At 40.8% G+C, this 16,360-nt stretch overlaps 1 protein-coding gene and 1 pseudogene across 7 annotated transcripts in view, besides 2 other annotated features; one reads left to right on the forward strand and one right to left on the reverse strand.

The window, feature by feature from the left end:
• The window catches only part of CLEC4A (C-type lectin domain family 4 member A), a 35,701-nt gene extending 19,820 nt beyond the window's left edge, over nucleotides 1-15,881 (forward strand). The window contains exons 1-6 of one of the 6 annotated variants that reach the window (NM_016184.4): nucleotides 891-1,234; nucleotides 2,835-2,951; nucleotides 6,538-6,636; nucleotides 12,859-13,010; nucleotides 14,062-14,177; nucleotides 15,414-15,881. In NM_016184.4, the coding sequence (NP_057268.1) occupies nucleotides 1,153-1,234; nucleotides 2,835-2,951; nucleotides 6,538-6,636; nucleotides 12,859-13,010; nucleotides 14,062-14,177; nucleotides 15,414-15,561 (714 nt within the window). In that variant the 5' untranslated portion in view covers nucleotides 891-1,152 and the 3' untranslated portion in view covers nucleotides 15,562-15,881. Of the gene's footprint in view, nucleotides 1-890; nucleotides 1,235-2,834; nucleotides 2,952-3,750; nucleotides 5,463-6,537; nucleotides 6,637-12,858; nucleotides 13,011-14,061; nucleotides 14,178-15,413 lie in introns of those variants that run through there. The other 5 variants (XM_017019382.3, NM_194450.3, NM_194447.3 and 2 more) reach the window with 5 other exon arrangements.
• Nucleotides 761-810: an enhancer, noted in NCBI's record as "active region_5929". NCBI's record gives its function as "activates an Ori minimal core promoter by ATAC-STARR-seq in GM12878 lymphoblastoid cells {active_cell/tissue: GM12878}" and the evidence as "EXISTENCE:reporter gene assay evidence [ECO:0000049][PMID:35858748]".
• Nucleotides 10,959-11,737: an enhancer, noted in NCBI's record as "H3K4me1 hESC enhancer chr12:8286281-8287059 (GRCh37/hg19 assembly coordinates)". NCBI's record gives its function as "activates a minimal SCP1, AML or CMV promoter by ChIP-STARR-seq in primed H9 embryonic stem cells {active_cell/tissue: H9 hESC(primed)}" and the evidence as "EXISTENCE:reporter gene assay evidence [ECO:0000049][PMID:30033119]".
• Nucleotides 11,043-12,126, reverse strand: POU5F1P3 (POU class 5 homeobox 1 pseudogene 3; annotated as a pseudogene). The gene has a single exon (NR_036440.1). The product of NR_036440.1 is annotated as a POU class 5 homeobox 1 pseudogene 3 (transcript).
• Nucleotides 15,882-16,360: the final 479 nt, after the last annotated feature.

Below are 16,360 nucleotides of genomic sequence, written 5' to 3' on the forward strand. Positions count from 1 at the left end.
GTGTTAGATTGGAATTAGAGGAATTAGTGTGAACTCATGGTGTTCAATATATTTAGATATAGAAATAATATAGAAATATAGACGTGTGTGTTTGTGTGTGTGTGCATGCATGTATGCATGTGTGTTATGCAGGAGAAGGAATCAGCTGGGGGAGATTAAAAGGAGGATCATTTGCGGAGAGTTGAGGGCAGAGAATCCAGGTGTGAGCTGGGAGCATGTCTATGGAGAGATTCCACATGAAGGATTTAATATTTGGAGTGTTTTCTTCTAGGCCTTTGGAAAAAGTCATATTTAGTACTTTGTTTAAGTTTATCCCCTTCTATACTGTGATTCTATATAATTCTCCTAACTGTTAAAAAATAGTCATATATATTGGAGGTGATGTGGCGATTAAAAGGTTAGGGAAGCATGGAATAAAGGCTGGCCTTCCCTCTCCTCCAACATCCAGTAAAGGGAGCTGCTTTCTGGAGATTCTAGCAAGATGAATGCAGACTTTTGATAGAGTTAGTTACCAACAAGGAAACACAGAGAGCATGGAGGAACAGCTTCAGAAGACATGGGGTTTAAACTTTGCCATCCCCACCATGCTACAGGAAACTAATTCGTGAAGGTGGGGAGGCTGATATGTGAGTTTTGTGTCAATGATACTCTTAGAATGTGGTACTAACAAGTTGCCTGATCAGTCAAAATTGATGAGATGAATGCAACATAAGTCTATGTTCAGGATGTTTGGTCAAAAGTAATTACATTTGTGTGTGGAAGCACAGAAATTGTATTTTTTACTGGTGAAAAACGCAGTTCTCCAGAAAGACTCTAAGTGCTTGGTTCTTCTTTTATTTTTCTTCCTCTTTCCGCAACCCTTTGAGTTCCCACTTTTATTGCATTTGCTTGCATTTGTTTCAAGGCTGTGATTCTCACTATACTGGTCCTGAGGAAAGGGCTTCTGTGAACTGCGGTTTTTAGTTTTTATTGTGGTTCTTAGTTCTCATGAGACCCCTCTTGAGGATATGTGCCTATCTGGTGCCTCTGCTCTCCACTAGTTGAGTGAAAGGAAGGAGGTAATTTACCACCATGTTTGGTTCCTGTTTATAAGATGTTTTAAGAAAGATCTGAAACAGATTTTCTGAAGAAAGCAGAAGCTCTCTTCCCATTATGACTTCGGAAATCACTTATGCTGAAGTGAGGTTCAAAAATGAATTCAAGTCCTCAGGCATCAACACAGCCTCTTCTGCAGGTAAAGATCATTTTCTAGGGGTCAGAGTGAATGACGAGGTGAAGGATGAGGAGAGGGTTTATGAATAAGGCATAGGTGTTTTCAGTTGCTGGTTGTCTGATTGAGTATGTCTGGGAAACACAAGAGTCCCAGAAGATTGAGTGGCCTGCAGATACGCATTACGGGGTGTACATTTGTATTGTGGAGAAGAAAAGATTTTGTGCCACTCTCTTCAGCCTCCACTCTGCTTACTGAAACAGAGGTGAGAGAAATCCACTCCAGTTCTGAGCTAAGGCGAGTGCTCTGATGCCCCTGTGTTTTCTGAGGCTGAGTGGGGCTGGGGTTAAGAGATTGAGTACAGCTTCTGAAACCATCAATCCAGATGCAGGGGGTCCTGATGAATTTGTGAGATTTGTTTTTTGATCAGTTAGAGGGAAAGAGTTTGGGTGGACAGTGGTGAGGGTATATTTGTTGGTAATGGATGGAAATGTAACAAAAGGCCTTTGCAAATGAAAGACTAGAAAGTCTACAAAGAAAGTCTCTTAAATCTCCAGGAAACTTTTTCTGAAATCAGAGAACCTATTGCGTGTTGCATCTCTGAGACAGACTCTGTTACGTTTGGGAGTAGATGCAAGGTGATTTGGGTGTCATGTGTGATATCTCAAGTATAGAGCAAAAGAGAGAAAAGAATGTATATAGAGTACAAGAAACTATGGGGGAAGGGGTCAGGACTATAGTTACGCTTTCTAAAATACCTCTGTGAAGGTGTGGAGAGCACTTAGGGAAATTTTTTCTCCTTAAAAACTTTATATAATTTCTTTATTACACAAGTATTAATGTTCATTGTAGAAAAAATTAACCAGAGGTACACAGATATTTGAATTATAATTACTCTTATCATCTAGAGAAAATCATAATTTGCAATTTAGTGAATATCCTTCCACATACAAATACATATAATGTGCATATGTATTTTACTAAAAATGTAATCATATTATATAATACTGAATTTTTTTCCCCCATCATTTGACAAAATATCATAACTCGAAGAAAGTGATTCCTAACCATGAGATGGTAACTAAAAAGACTGACTTTATTCTAAACATGTGATGAGGAATGATTATAAAGATTTATTTGCTATAGCATTATTTAAAGTTGGAAACCATTATTTAAATATATGATGAAATACTATGCAACCATAATAAGGAGTGTTAAAGAAGAAAATATAATGGTATGAAAAATGTTCATGATATAGTGTAAAGGAAAATAATAGGTCAGAAATCAGTATTTATGGTATGTCAATCGTGGGAAAATTTGCATATGTGTATATATACATTCAAAAAATTGCTAGAAAGATATATACCAAAATATTATGGTATATTATAAGTTATATGGCATAACAGTTATCCTCAATTGTAGGAATTCGTACTTTTATGTATTTTTTAAAGTTTCTACAGTGAATATTATTATATCCTTTCTATTCCTATTCTCATGTGATTTCAAATGTCATACCGTTAGTAACTGTGTGTCATCCAAGAAAAGAGAGAGAAAGAGGAGGAGGAAGAAGAGGAAGTAAAGACCAAACTTATTACTGATAAAACTAATTTGGCTTCTTCTTCAGCTTCCAAGGAGAGGACTGCCCCTCACAAAAGTAATACCGGATTCCCCAAGCTGCTTTGTGCCTCACTGTTGATATTTTTCCTGCTATTGGCAATCTCATTCTTTATTGCTTTTGTCAGTAAGTATGCCAACTGAACCAATAAGCAATATCTGCTGTCCATGAACAGAGGGTATCCTTTAAAAACTGACTTTTGAAAATGAGCTTATCCAGAAATCTGAAATGAAATTTTCTCTGGGGAGACATAATTCATGGGAATCCACTGTGAATTTTGCTCTTTATTTGGATTTAGTTACTGTCCTGTAAAAATAATGGAATCCCTTCTCATTTAGAGAAACTGAAGCATAAATGTGGGTGTATGTATTTGTGTTGTAGAGTGAAATCTATGGGGCATCATCTCTATACTAGACACTATGTAAGTGAGGACAAATCTATGTTTCCTTGGTAGCATTTATCAGGCCAGTCTGATTTGAATGCACAGACATTTATGTTTTGGGATGAGCAGGTAGACAACAAGGAGATGGGAAGAAATATTTCAGGAAGAGTTCTCCACTGGCTTTTACTCTGATTATTCCTGCCCTGCTCAAGACTGTGTGGGATCTAAAAGTCAATTTTGCAAATTAGGTGGATTGCTGCGTATCTTTGGCTTTCAGCATTTGTTGAGTTTTATTCCCCCTGGTTCTGTCACCCAGGCTGGAGTGCATTGGTGCAATCTTGGCTCACTGCAACCTCCACCTCCCAGGTTCAAGCGATTCTCCCACCCCAGCCTCCCAAGTAGCTGGGATTACAGGTGTGCATCACTATGCTCAGCTAATTTTTTTTTTTTTTTTTTTTGTATTTTTAGTAGAGACAGGGTTTTCTCATGTTTCCTGGCCTTGTCCTGAACTCCTGGGCTCAAGCAGTCTGCCTACCTCAGCCTCCTAACGTGCTGGGATTACAGGCATGAGTCACTACGCCTGGCTCAAAATTTTTAAAAGGCATAAAAAGCAGTATACATTTAGGTAGATTCTTTATTAATTTCTTTGGTCATTTCATAAGTATTGTCCATCTACTGTATGTCAGGCACTGTGCCAGACAGAGAGTCAAGACAGAGCCACAGCCCCTGGTCTCAAGAAATTTAGAGAATGATAAAATGAACCAGTGGTTATAACATTGTATGGTAAGTGTTGTACAGTTAAGAAGTATAATAAGTGCAAGAGGCTGAGGTAGGCTTTCCGGAGGAGGTGACATCTAGAGCTGTGTGTACCAAGAATGACCTAGAGATATGAGAGAGCATGGAATTTGGGGAAACGTAAGTATGCATGACTGGAACATATGGTGCTAAGTAAAGAACTAAGAAATGAAGTTGTAGGTGGCAGAAAGAAACAGGACTCAGATCATGAAGACTGCTGTATATCATGATAAAGAGTTTGGATTTTTTCCCTCCTAAAGGTTATTTTATCAATTATCTTTTGCTGGTTAATAAGCCAATCTAAAACTTAGTGGATTAAAACAGCAACTATTTATTTAGCTCATAAATCTGTGTCTTGGCAATTGAGACTGGTGTCAGTTGGGAGATTTCCCCAGTCCTGGCTGAACTCACTCATGTATATGTGGTTGGGTACTGGCCACAGGCAACTTAGCTTCTGAGGAACAGGATGTTAGATGGAATGGCAGGAGAGATTTGGCCACGTTTCTCTTATCATTCATCAGGGTAGCCTGGGTTTGTTCACATGGCAACTGGCAGGCTTTTAAGACTGAGAGCGGAAGTAAGCAAGGCCTTTTGAAATCTCACCTTGGAACTAGCGCAGAGTTGCTCCTGCACATTCTATTGGCCAAAAGAAGTCTTACAGGCAGCCCAGATCCAGGCGGTGGAGAAATAGACCACATTTCTTGATTGAAGAAGCTGCAAAATCACATTGCAAAGCAGTGTAGATACAGGGTATGTTGAAAGTTGTGGCCATTTTTGCAATGTCACAGTCATAGAGAAAATTGAAGAATTTTAAGCAGGGAATTGATATAATTGGATTGGACTTATAGAAACATGATTTTTACAGAGGTGTGGAAAATGGATAAATGAGGACAAATTTGGAGGGAAAGAGAGGTTAGAAGGATAATTCATTAATTCAATTGAGAAATATTGTCAGACTGATCTATGGCTAGTGTTAGCGAAAAAAGAGAAGATGAAGTAATTTTGAATGATAAAGGAGGTAGAGGCTTGATGAATATTCAGTTCTGGGAAATAAGGGACCCAGAGAAGTAAAGTATGGCTCCAATATTCTGACTTTGTAAACTCAGAAATCATTAAGTTTTTCAAAGAGGTAGACAATATAGGATCAGTAGCAGGTTTGGGTTGGAAGATGGTGATTTAAGTTTTGGGCATGTTGAGTTTTATATGGCTGTGAGAACCTCAAATGGATGTGTCTACTGGGAGACACATTTGTCTGGATTTAGGGAGAGAGGTCTGAGCTTTGGAAGTCCTTCACATAGAGGTAGCAGGTGATGCCGTGGGAATATATGATATCACTCACGGAGATAACTTAGTATGAGAAAGACGGATAAGGATGGAACTCTGGGAAATGTTACATTTTAAAAGAGGTGGATGGAGGAAACGGAGCTCATCAAAGAGTGTAAGAAGCAGCAGCAAGAAAGGTAAGACAAAAACAACAAAGAGTAGTGTCCCAAGAGCTAAGGGGAAAGGCAACTGGGGTCAAGCCTTTAAGGAAGTCAAATAGGAAGAGGACTAAGTAACCCTAGGATATTACTGAGGATCCACTTTAGGGATGGTTTTAGTGAAATAGTGGAAGTAAAACCCAGACTATGATGGGTCAAGGAGCAAATGAAAGGTAGGGAGGAAAGACAAAAAGTTCAATTTCTTTTTTTTTTTTTTTTGAGATGGAGTCTTGCTCCGTCACCCAGGCTGGAGTGCAGTGGCGCAATCTCAGCTCACCGCAACCTCCGCCTCCCAGGTTCAAGCAATTCTCCTTCCTCAGCTTCCCGAGTAGCTGGGATTACAGGCACCTGCCGCTGCGCCCAGCTGATTTTTGTACTTTGAGTAGAGACGAGGTTTCACCATCTTGGCCAGGCTAGTCTCGAACTCCTGACCTGCCTCGACCTCCCAAAGTGCTGGGATTACAGGCGTGAGCCAATGTGCCCGGCCAAAAGTTCAGTTTCTAGAGGGAGAGGTGGGTTAGTTTTAAACTGGGAGAAACATGAGAGCGTTGGTGTGCTGAGGAGTAAGAGCCAGTTGGGATGGAGAGAGTAATGGAGAGAAGAGGAAGAAAATAATGCCCTCTTGATCCATGTGGGGTTCTTTTTAAAATTCTCCATTCTTCAAGGTAACCCAGAACTCCTCAGAATTAATTTGCCCCTCTCCCATCTGCTCCAAAGTCCCAGGGTGCGCACATCCTTAAATACAAGTGTTTATTGCCCTGCATCCCCCCACCCCCAAGAGTTAGCCTTTGCATGCATCTTATATTAAGTATTGAAGGAGAATGTGGAGTCCCTTTAGATCCATTATGATGGAACTGTTGTGTCCTCTTCCAACTACTGATCTTTCAGCTATTCCTAGAGATATCTATAGTTTCAGTATGGGAAATCTTTTCCCTCTACTCCAGTAATAGGGCATTTGTAAGTTTTATTTCAATAAAGAATGCAAGAAAGTAACGATAAAGAGCAAAGTCATAATGCTACCAGGAAAATAAATGGTCTTTATTCTCTTTTCCAGTTTTCTTTCAAAAATATTCTCAGCTTCTTGAAAAAAAGACTACAAAAGAGCTGGTTCATACAACATTGGAGTGTGTGAAAAAAAATATGCCCGTGGAAGGTAAAAATTAATGTGCCTAGAATTCAGTTGCTGAATGTACTATGTAAGGATCCCAAATCAATATTTCCAGTAAGATTCCCAGGTAGATCATACTGAAAAGTTGAGTCTCACAATAATTTAAGCTACAAATGTACAAATATCTAGGACATGCTGGGCATGGTGGCTCACACCTGTAATCCCAGCACTTTGGGAGGCTGAGGCGTGTGGATCACAAGGTCAACAGATCGAGACCATCCTAGCCAAAATGGTGAAACCCCGTCTCCACTAAAAGCACAAAAATTAGCTAGGCATGGTGGTACACACCTGTAATCCCAGCTACTCGGGAGGCTGAGGCAGGAGAGTCGCTTGAACCCGGGAGGCAGAGGTTGCAGTGAGCCGAGGTTGTGCCACTGCACTCCACCTGGCGACGGAGCAAGATTCCGCCTCAAAAAAACCCAAAAGACAAAAAAACAAATATATAGGACATAAAATTCTTTTGTTGTTGTTTTTTTGAGACAGGGTCTCACTTTGTTGCCCAGGCTAGAGTGCAGTAGTGCGAACATGGCTCACTACAGCCTCGACCTCCCGGGCTCAAGTGATCCTCCCATTTCTGCCTCCTGAGTAGCTGAGACTACAAGCACACGCCACTACACTCAGCTAATTTTTGTATTTTTTGTAGAGATGGAGTTTCACCATGTTGCCCAGGCTGATCTTGAACTCCTAAGCTTAAGTGATGTGGCTGTCTCAGCTTCTTGAAGGGCTGGGATTATAGGCGTGAGCCACGGTGCCTGGTCCTAAAATTCGTATATGTACTCATATATCTTTAATTTGTCTATGGAAAAAAATAGAAGCTTAATTGTGAAAAAGGTTACATTGCTTTTAGACTTCTTCGACCTTTGCTTCTTTCGGAACTTTCTATACACATTTGCTCTTTTTTTCACATATCAGTTAAAACCATGTGATGAAAATGTGATGATGATTTTTTTATGGATGTGAATTATTTAAATTATTTAAATTAATAGATTATTGTTATTATTATTATTATTTTTGAGATAGGATCTCACTCTGTTTTCCAGGCTGGAATTCAGTAGTGTGACCACAGCTCACAGTAGCCTTGATCTCCTGGGTTCCAAGTAATCCTCCACCTCAGCCTCCCAGTAGCTGGGATCAAAGGTGCCCACTACCACACTTGGCCAATTTTATTTTTATTTTTTGAATTTTTGTAGAGAGAAGGTCTTGCCATGTTGCCAGGCTGTTCTTGAATTCCTGGCTTCAAGCAATCCTCCCACCTCAGCCTCCCCGTGCTGGGATTACAGGAGTGAGCTACCATGCCCGGCCAATAGGTTATTTTTAAGAACAGTTTTATATTTACAGAAAAATTGAGCAGATAATGCAAAGAGATCTCATTTTTCCCTTGCTCTGCACACATGCTCTCCCCTATTGTTAACATCTTACATGAATATAGTATACTTCTTACAACTAATCAACTAATATTGGTATATTATTAATTAAAATTCACAATTTTCAGGTTTCCTTAGTGTTCACCTCATTTTCTTTTCTGTAATAGGATCCCCATCCAGAACACCACGTTACATTGAATTCTCATGTCTCTTTAGGCACGTCTTGGCTGTGGTAGTTTCTCAGATTTTCCTCATATTTGATGACCCTGACAGTTTTGAGCAATACTGGTCAGGTATATTATAGAATGTCCATCTATCAGAATTTGTCTGATGTTTTTCTAATAATTAGACTGGGATTATTGGTTTTTGGGAGGAAGATCACAGATGTAAAATGCTATTTTCATTACATCATATCAAGGGCATATATTATCAAAATGATTCTTGACTATTGATGTTGACCTTGATCACTTGGTTAAGGTAGTGTTTGTCAAGTTTCTCCACTGTGAAGTTACTCTTTCCCTCCCCACCCCTTTCCATACTACACTCTTTGGAAGGTTCAGTCCACACTTAAGGACTGGGGAGTTATGCTCTCCATTCATGAGGGTGGATTATGGTATCAGTCATGGTCAGCAGGCTGGAGACTCAGGAAGGAGTAAGAGTTGCAGTTTGAGTCCAAAGACCATCTGCTGCAGAACCTTGAAGAGCCAGTGCTGCAGATGAAGTGCAAAGGCAGTCCACTGAGTTTCCTCTTGCTCAGAGGAGGTCCCTCTTTTTGTTCCATTCAGATCTTCAATTGATTAGATGAAATCTACTTACATTATTGAGGGCAATCTGCTTTACTCAAAGTCCAGCAATTTAAATGTAAATCTCATCCAAAAGCATTTTCACAGAAACATCCAGAATGTTTGGCCAAATATCTGGGCACTGTGGCCTAGATAAGTTGACACATAAAATTAACCATCACAAGTATCTATATAATTTATTTGAAATTTTGTCCAGGTGATATTTGTCTCTTTTATTCCATTTATTTATTTATATAATCATTTAGTTATATCTGCATGTACTCATGGAGATATATATATCTATATATATATATATCTCTTCAACTTTTAAGTTCTGGGGTACATGTGCAGGATGTGCAGGTTTGTTTCATGGGTAAATGTGTGCTATGGTGGTTTGCTACATAGACCAACCCATCACCCAGGTATTAAGCCCAGCATCCATTAGCTGTTCTTCCTGATGCTCTCCCTCCCCGGCTTGCTCCCTCCACCACAGGCCCCAGTGTGTGTTGTTCCCCACTGTGTGTCCAACTCATGGATATTTATTTTAAATTTTGGTTTATAATCCAATACTGCTCTATTTTGTAGTTCCAGCTTTGGACATTGGGAACTTTTTCATTTGACTCCTGTGACCCTTTAACATATCACCACGTGTTTTTTCTTTTGTTTTGGTTTAGCACTTCCTCACTTTCTGGGACTGCAAAATGCTTGAGACTCACATTGTACATTTCATGTCCCTATCCTGGAATCAGATATTTCTTTGAGGAGCCCTAGTTCCTTTGATTGGAGAATAGTGTCCTATGAAATTTGATAATTTGTATTGTCATTTTCATTCAGTTCAATGTATTTTTAAAAATTTCCCTTTAGACATCTCCTTTGACTCGTGGATTATTTAAAAGTGTGTTGTTTAGTTTCAAGCGTATGGAGATTTTCCTGTGTTATTTCTTTTATTAATTTCTGGTTTCTTTTCACTGTGGTTGGAGAAAACGATATGATTTCAGCAATTTTAAATTAGTCGATGTTATTTAATGTCCCGAGATATGGTTTGTTTCAGCATATGTTCCAGAGGCACTGGAAAAGAATGGGTATTCTGTTGTTGGGTGGAGCGTTCTATAAATGTGGATTGGATCCTTGTAATTGATGATGTTTATAAGTTCTATGTTCTTGCTGATTTTCTGTGTAGTTCTGTCAATGGTTGAGAGAGAGGTGTTGATGTATCCACCTATAATTGTATATTTGTCAATTCCTCTTTCAATTGTATCAGTTTTGCTTTATACATTTTGCAGCTTTGTTTGGTGTATACACATTTGGGGTCACTTTACAAGGCTCTGTTTATTTTTTTTTCTGTCTAGTTTTTTTGTTTCTTTGTGGGTTTTTTTGTTTGTTTTTGTTTTTTTTTTGTTTTTGTTTTTCAGACGAAGTCTCGCTCTGTTGCCCAGGCTGGAGTGCAGTGGTGCGATCTCAGCTCACTGCAACCTCTGCCTCCTGGGTTCAAGCGATTCTCTTGCCTCAGCCTCCTGAGTAGCTGGGATTACAGGTGTGCGCCACCATGCCCTGCTAATTTTTGTATTTTTAGTAGATATGGGGTTTCACCATGTTGGTCAGGCTGGTCTCAAACTTCTCATCTCAGGTGATCCATCCACCTCGGCCTCCCAAAGTGCAGGGATTACAGGTGTGAGCCACCACGCCCAGCCTTTTTTTGGTATTTTTAGTAGAGACAGGGTTTCGCCATGTTGGCCAGGCTGGTCTAGAACTCCCGACCACAGGTGATCCGCCCGCCTCAGCCTCCTAAAGTGCTGGGTTTACAGGCGTGAGCCACTGTGCCCAGCCTTTTCTGTCTAGTTTGTTTCTGTTGCTCAGTTGACATTTTCTGTTGTTTTGTCTTCCAATTCACTAATCTCTCTATCCCCTTCATTCTGCTGAGTCCATCCACTGAGCTTTTTATTTTGGTTATTATATTATTCAATTATAAAATTTCCATTTTTTTTTTTTTTGTCTATCTACTGTGTTGAGGCTTCTTTATTTAAGAAAAAAGTGATACATGATGTGGGATTAAAATCAAGAACATCATTGAACTTCACCTTCCCTCCAACCAGTTGCCCCAAACTCCCCTGCCCCCACCCTTTGTGTTCCCAATTCCTTCCTTAGTGAATGAAGAACTTAATCCCAAAAGCCCTGGCACAAACTCCAGGTGCTCTTTCCCTAGCTCCTCCCCTCCCCCTGTCCCCCATTCCTAGAAGGGCAGGCACCTCAGTTTGAATGCATGGGAGAGCCCAGAGTGGTGACGGAGACAGGGGGAAAGGCTTCCCCCTCAGGGAAAGGGACCGAGGAGTACAGTGCAGTGAAGTGAGGGCTCCCATAGCCTGGGGTACCAAAATGGGGCCCTGGGGCCAGAGGAAAGGACACTGGTCCCCCTGAGAAAGGAGACCCAACAGCCTCAAAATCCTCTCGTTGTGCATAGCCACTGCTTGATCGCTTGCCCTTCTGGCGCCGGTTACAGAACCACACTCGGACCACATCCTTCTCCAGCCCAAGCTGCTGGGCGATGTGGCTGATCTGCTGCAGTGTGGGTTTCGGGCACCGCAGGAACAAATTCTCCAGGTTGCCTCTCACTTGGTTCTCGATACTGGTTCGCTTTCTCTTTCGGGCCTGCACGAGGGTTTCTGCTTTGCATATCTCCTGAAGATTTTCATTGTTGTCAGCTTCCTCCACCCACTTCTGCAGCAAGGGCCGCAGCTCACACATGTTCTTGAAGCTAAGCTGCAGAGCCTCAAAGCGGCAGATGGTCGTTTGGCTGAACACCTTCCCAAATAGAACCCCCAGGGTGAGCCACATCGGCCTGTGTATATCCCAGGGTGATCCTCTTCTGCTTCAGGAGCTTGGCAAATTGCTCGAGTTCTTTCTGCAGAGCTTTGATGTCCTGGGACTCCTCCGGGTTTTGCTCCAGCTTCTCCTTCTCCAGCTTCACGGCACCAGAGGGGACGGTGCAGGGCTCCGGGGAGGCCCCATCGGAGTTGCTCTCCACCCCGACTCCTGCTTCGCCCTCAGGCTGAGAGGTCTCCAAGCCGTCTTGGGGCACTAGCCCCACTCCAGTCTGAGGCCCACAGTACGCCATCCCCCCGCAGAACTCATACGGCGGGGGACATGGGGGAATCCCCCACTCCTCAGAGCCTGGCCCAAACCCCGGCCCGATTCCTGGCCCTCCAGGAGGGCCTTGGAAGCTTAGCCAGGTCCGAGGATCAACCCAGCCCGGCTCCGGCCCCCCTGGCCCATCACCTCCACCGCCTGGAGGGGGTGAGAAGGCGAAATCCGAAGCCAGGTGTCCCGCCATGGGGAAGGAAGGCGCCCCAAGCATGGTGAAATCTTGGTTTTTCTTTATATCTTCTAGTTCTTTGCTGAAACTTTCTAGTTTTTCATTTGTTTCAAGCATGTCTGTATCTTCTTGTTGAAGCGTTTTTGTTTTTTGTTTTTTTTTAATCATGGCTGCTTTTAAATCTTTGTCAGATAATTCTAACAATTTTATTATCTTTTTTTTTTTTTTTTTTTTTTGAGACAGGTTCTCGCTGTGTTGCCCAGGCTGGTCTTGAACTTCTGGGATCAAGCGATTCTTCTGCCTCAGCCTCCCAAAGTGCTGGGATTACAGATGTGAGCCACCGTGCCCGGCCCCATTTTTGTTGTCTTGATTGTAGGCATCTATTGATTATTATATTTTATTAAATTTGAAAACTTACTGGTTCTTAGCATAATGACTTATTTTCTATTGAACTCTGGATATTTTTGCATTATATTCTCAGAGTCTGGATCTTATTTAAACATGTTTTCGTAATAGCTGGGCTTTTCAGATGGCACTTCAGCAGGAGAAAAGGGGCCCTGCCTCATTACTGCCTGATTGAGGTAGACTTGGCTTCCTTGACACCTGAGGGGCAGGGGCTCCTGGTTGCATCTGAGTGTGGAGGGGAGTTCCAGCTTCCATGTGCTCTCTCTTGGCTCTTAATTTTAATAATACACACACTTTTAAGAGTGATTATTTATATTGCACGTATGTGCCCCTCTTCCCAATACAGAGACAGCCTGGAGCTGTTGCCCAAAGAATTGGAAGTCATTTAGTTCCAACTGCTACTTTATTTCTACTGAATCAGCATCTTGGCAAGACAGTGAGAAGGACTGTGCTAGAATGGAGGCTCACCTGCTGGTGATAAACACTCAAGAAGAGCAGGTACTTTCTAATAGATAATGGGGCTGTGAGCCCTGCCTGATCTTTGTATATCTCTCTTGGCTAAGAAGGAGGTTTTTGTTACTTTGGGATATTTGCGCTGTGGCAGAAGGCTTTCAATAAAATAGGTAGAAAGGGCTCCTAAGCCTTTATATTCCATACCTCCTTCCTGCTTCAGTAAAACTAACCTCCCCGGAAGAAATTGTGACATTAAAAATATATGAGGGTTGAATGGAAGGATGAAAATGTTTCAGTCTGAAATATCAATTTGTTATTTCAATATGTAAATGTTTTATACATGATTAACTACTTAACAAAGAAGAGGTATTAAGTTGAATAGAGAAAAGAAATAAAGTTAACTCATGATGAATCACAATCAACACTCAGGAATGAAAATAAAGAATCCCTGAAGTTATGAAAGGAAAATGACTGAATCTGCCAAAATTTTCTCATGTACAACTTTGAAGAATGTAATCCCTTAGTGAAGAAAAGAGGGGAAGTAAACCTGAGATGAGAATTCATTCTGATCATAGAAATTGCTTCCATACTGGCTGGGCATGCTAGCTCATGCCTGTAATCCCAGCACTTTGGGAGGCCAAGGCGGGCGGATCACTTGAGGCCGGGAGTTCAAGACCAGCTTGGCCAAAATGGTGAAACCCAGCCTCTACTAAAAATACAAAAATTAGCCAGGCATGGTGGCACACACCTGTAGTCCCAGCTACTGGGGAGGCTGAGGCATGAGAATCGCTTAAGCCTGGGAGGCAGAGGTGCAGTGAGCCAAGATTGCACCACTGCACTCCAGCCTGGGACAGAAAGTGAGACTCCATCTCAAAAAAAAAAAAAAAAAAAAATTCCTTCCGTATGTACTGAACATCATGCTTACAAGCGATGTCTTTGATTCTGCCCTGCTCAGCCAGAGATCCCCATTCCTACGTAGAGCTCTAATGCAGCTGTTGCTGGATCCTCTCCTTTTCTTCTTGTTTCTCTAAGGTATTAAGAATTCAGTTTAAGCTGAATACTGTAAAGGCTGTGACTCCTTCTTTTCCCCCCTCAGGATTTCATCTTCCAGAATCTGCAAGAAGAATCTGCTTATTTTGTGGGGCTCTCAGATCCAGAAGGTCAGCGACATTGGCAATGGGTTGATCAGACACCATACAATGAAAGTTCCACGTGAGTATAGAATGAGATAAAAGAATCTTGGGTCCTGGATCATGCAGAGAGCTTAGGGTATTCTAGCTATCAGCTATAAAAGTAAAATAGCTCACTCTTCTTTTAGCTCTTGGGTACTAGGTTAAATAATTTCATTATCTCATTTAATCTGCGCAAGAACCCTATGAGGCACACATTGTTATTTTTCCCACTGTAGATATGAGGAAATTGAGCTTGGAGAGTGTAGATAATTCAGCTAAGGTCACCCAGTGGTGTCAACAATTGTTCTCAAATCAGGTGGATCTTACTGTGCTTTTAACCCGTATATTTACCTGTCTCTACATAGTGAAAACCCATGTTGATTAAGATCATAACCAATTATTAAGATTTAATAATGCTTTTTTTTTCTTTTTTGAGACAGGGTCTTACTCTGTCAACCAGGCTGGAGTGCAGTGGTGCAATCATGGCTCACTGCAGCCTTGAATTCCTGGGCTCAACTGATCCTCCCACCCAAGTCTTCTGAGTTGCTAGGATGACAAGTATGTGCCACCACACCCAGTCAGGCTGAAGATGTAATGCTTCTTATGAAGCAAAAATGCTAAATTCTGATAATCTTATATCTCATATTTATGTAATTCTTTAATTGCATAAATTACATACTTTACATATATTACATAAATTACATAAAATACATACTTTACTGGATTACCACCTTCGATCTTCATATCCACTGTATGAAATAAATAGTGATATTACTCTAGTCCTTATTTTTTAGATAGAAAAACTGAGAATCAGGGAAGTTAAATTACTTGTCCAATAACAAGGATAAGTAGAAGATTCAAAAGATTTTACTAGTTCTCTAGACTTTAAAAACAGTGCATTAAAAAAAGGAAAAAACTCTATTGATAAGTGGGACCAGGGTAAAATCTTTTCATCATACAAGGACACCCTATAGGTTGATGGACCCATAGGAACAGGACATAAGGATGGACAAATAGAAGAGAACCTCTAGAAAATCTATGGTGAGGATATTCAAAGCAGTAAGGTAGAGAACATTGAGTGACATAGGCACAGTTTTCAAAGGAAATGCCGGAAATGCAGATGGAGGAGAAGCTGCATGATGAGTAGCAGAAAGGTGGATTTGGGCATATCTGACCCTATGTTCCATGAAATTCATCCCTCGCTCCTCACCCCTGTCTCTAACCCTTTTCAAAGCTCTGTTTGAAGAAATGCCCTCATCCTTTTTGTCGCTTTCAGATTCTGGCATCCACGTGAGCCCAGTGATCCCAATGAGCGCTGCGTTGTGCTAAATTTTCGTAAATCACCCAAAAGATGGGGCTGGAATGATGTTAATTGTCTTGGTCCTCAAAGGTCAGTTTGTGAGATGATGAAGATCCACTTATGAACTGAACATTCTCCATGAACAGGTGGTTGGATTGGTATCTGTCATTGTAGGGATAGATAATAAGCTCTTCTTATTCATGTGTAAGGGAGGTCCATAGAATTTAGGTGGTCTGTCAACTATTCTACTTATGAGAGAATTGGTCTGTACATTGACTGATTCACTTTTTCATAAAGTGAGCATTTATTGAGCATTTTTTCATGTGCCAGAGCCTGTACTGGAGGCCCCCATTGTGCACACATGGAGAGAACATGAGTCTCTCTTAATTTTTATCTGGTTGCTAAAGAATTATTTACCAATAAAATTATATGATGTGGTGTCTCCTCCTGTCTGGTTTTCTCTTCATCCCTACTATACTGATATATAATTGTATATATATACTGACATATATATATATTATATTTTATATATATATTATAATATATATATATACACTGACAAATAAAATTGTATATATTTAAGGTTTACACTGTGGTGATTTGACATACATATATATTGTAAAATGATTACCGTAATCAAGTTACTTAACCCACACCCATTATCTTACATAGTTAACAATCTTGTGTGTAGTGAGAACGTTTAAGATCTACTCCATTCTGTCCATTGGTATCAACAAACACAAAGCAAGATCTACTCCCCAAAAAATTTCAAGTGTGCAATGCATCATTATTAACTATAGTCACCATCCAGCACATTAGATCTCTAGAACTTCGTCATCTTAGAACTGAAAATTTGTACCCTTTGACCAACATTGCCTGATTTTCTCCACTGCCCTCCATTCCCTCACAACCATCATTTTACC

Source organism: Homo sapiens, chromosome 12 (assembly GCF_000001405.40).
Source record: "Homo sapiens chromosome 12, GRCh38.p14 Primary Assembly".
NCBI lineage: Eukaryota > Metazoa > Chordata > Mammalia > Primates > Hominidae > Homo > Homo sapiens.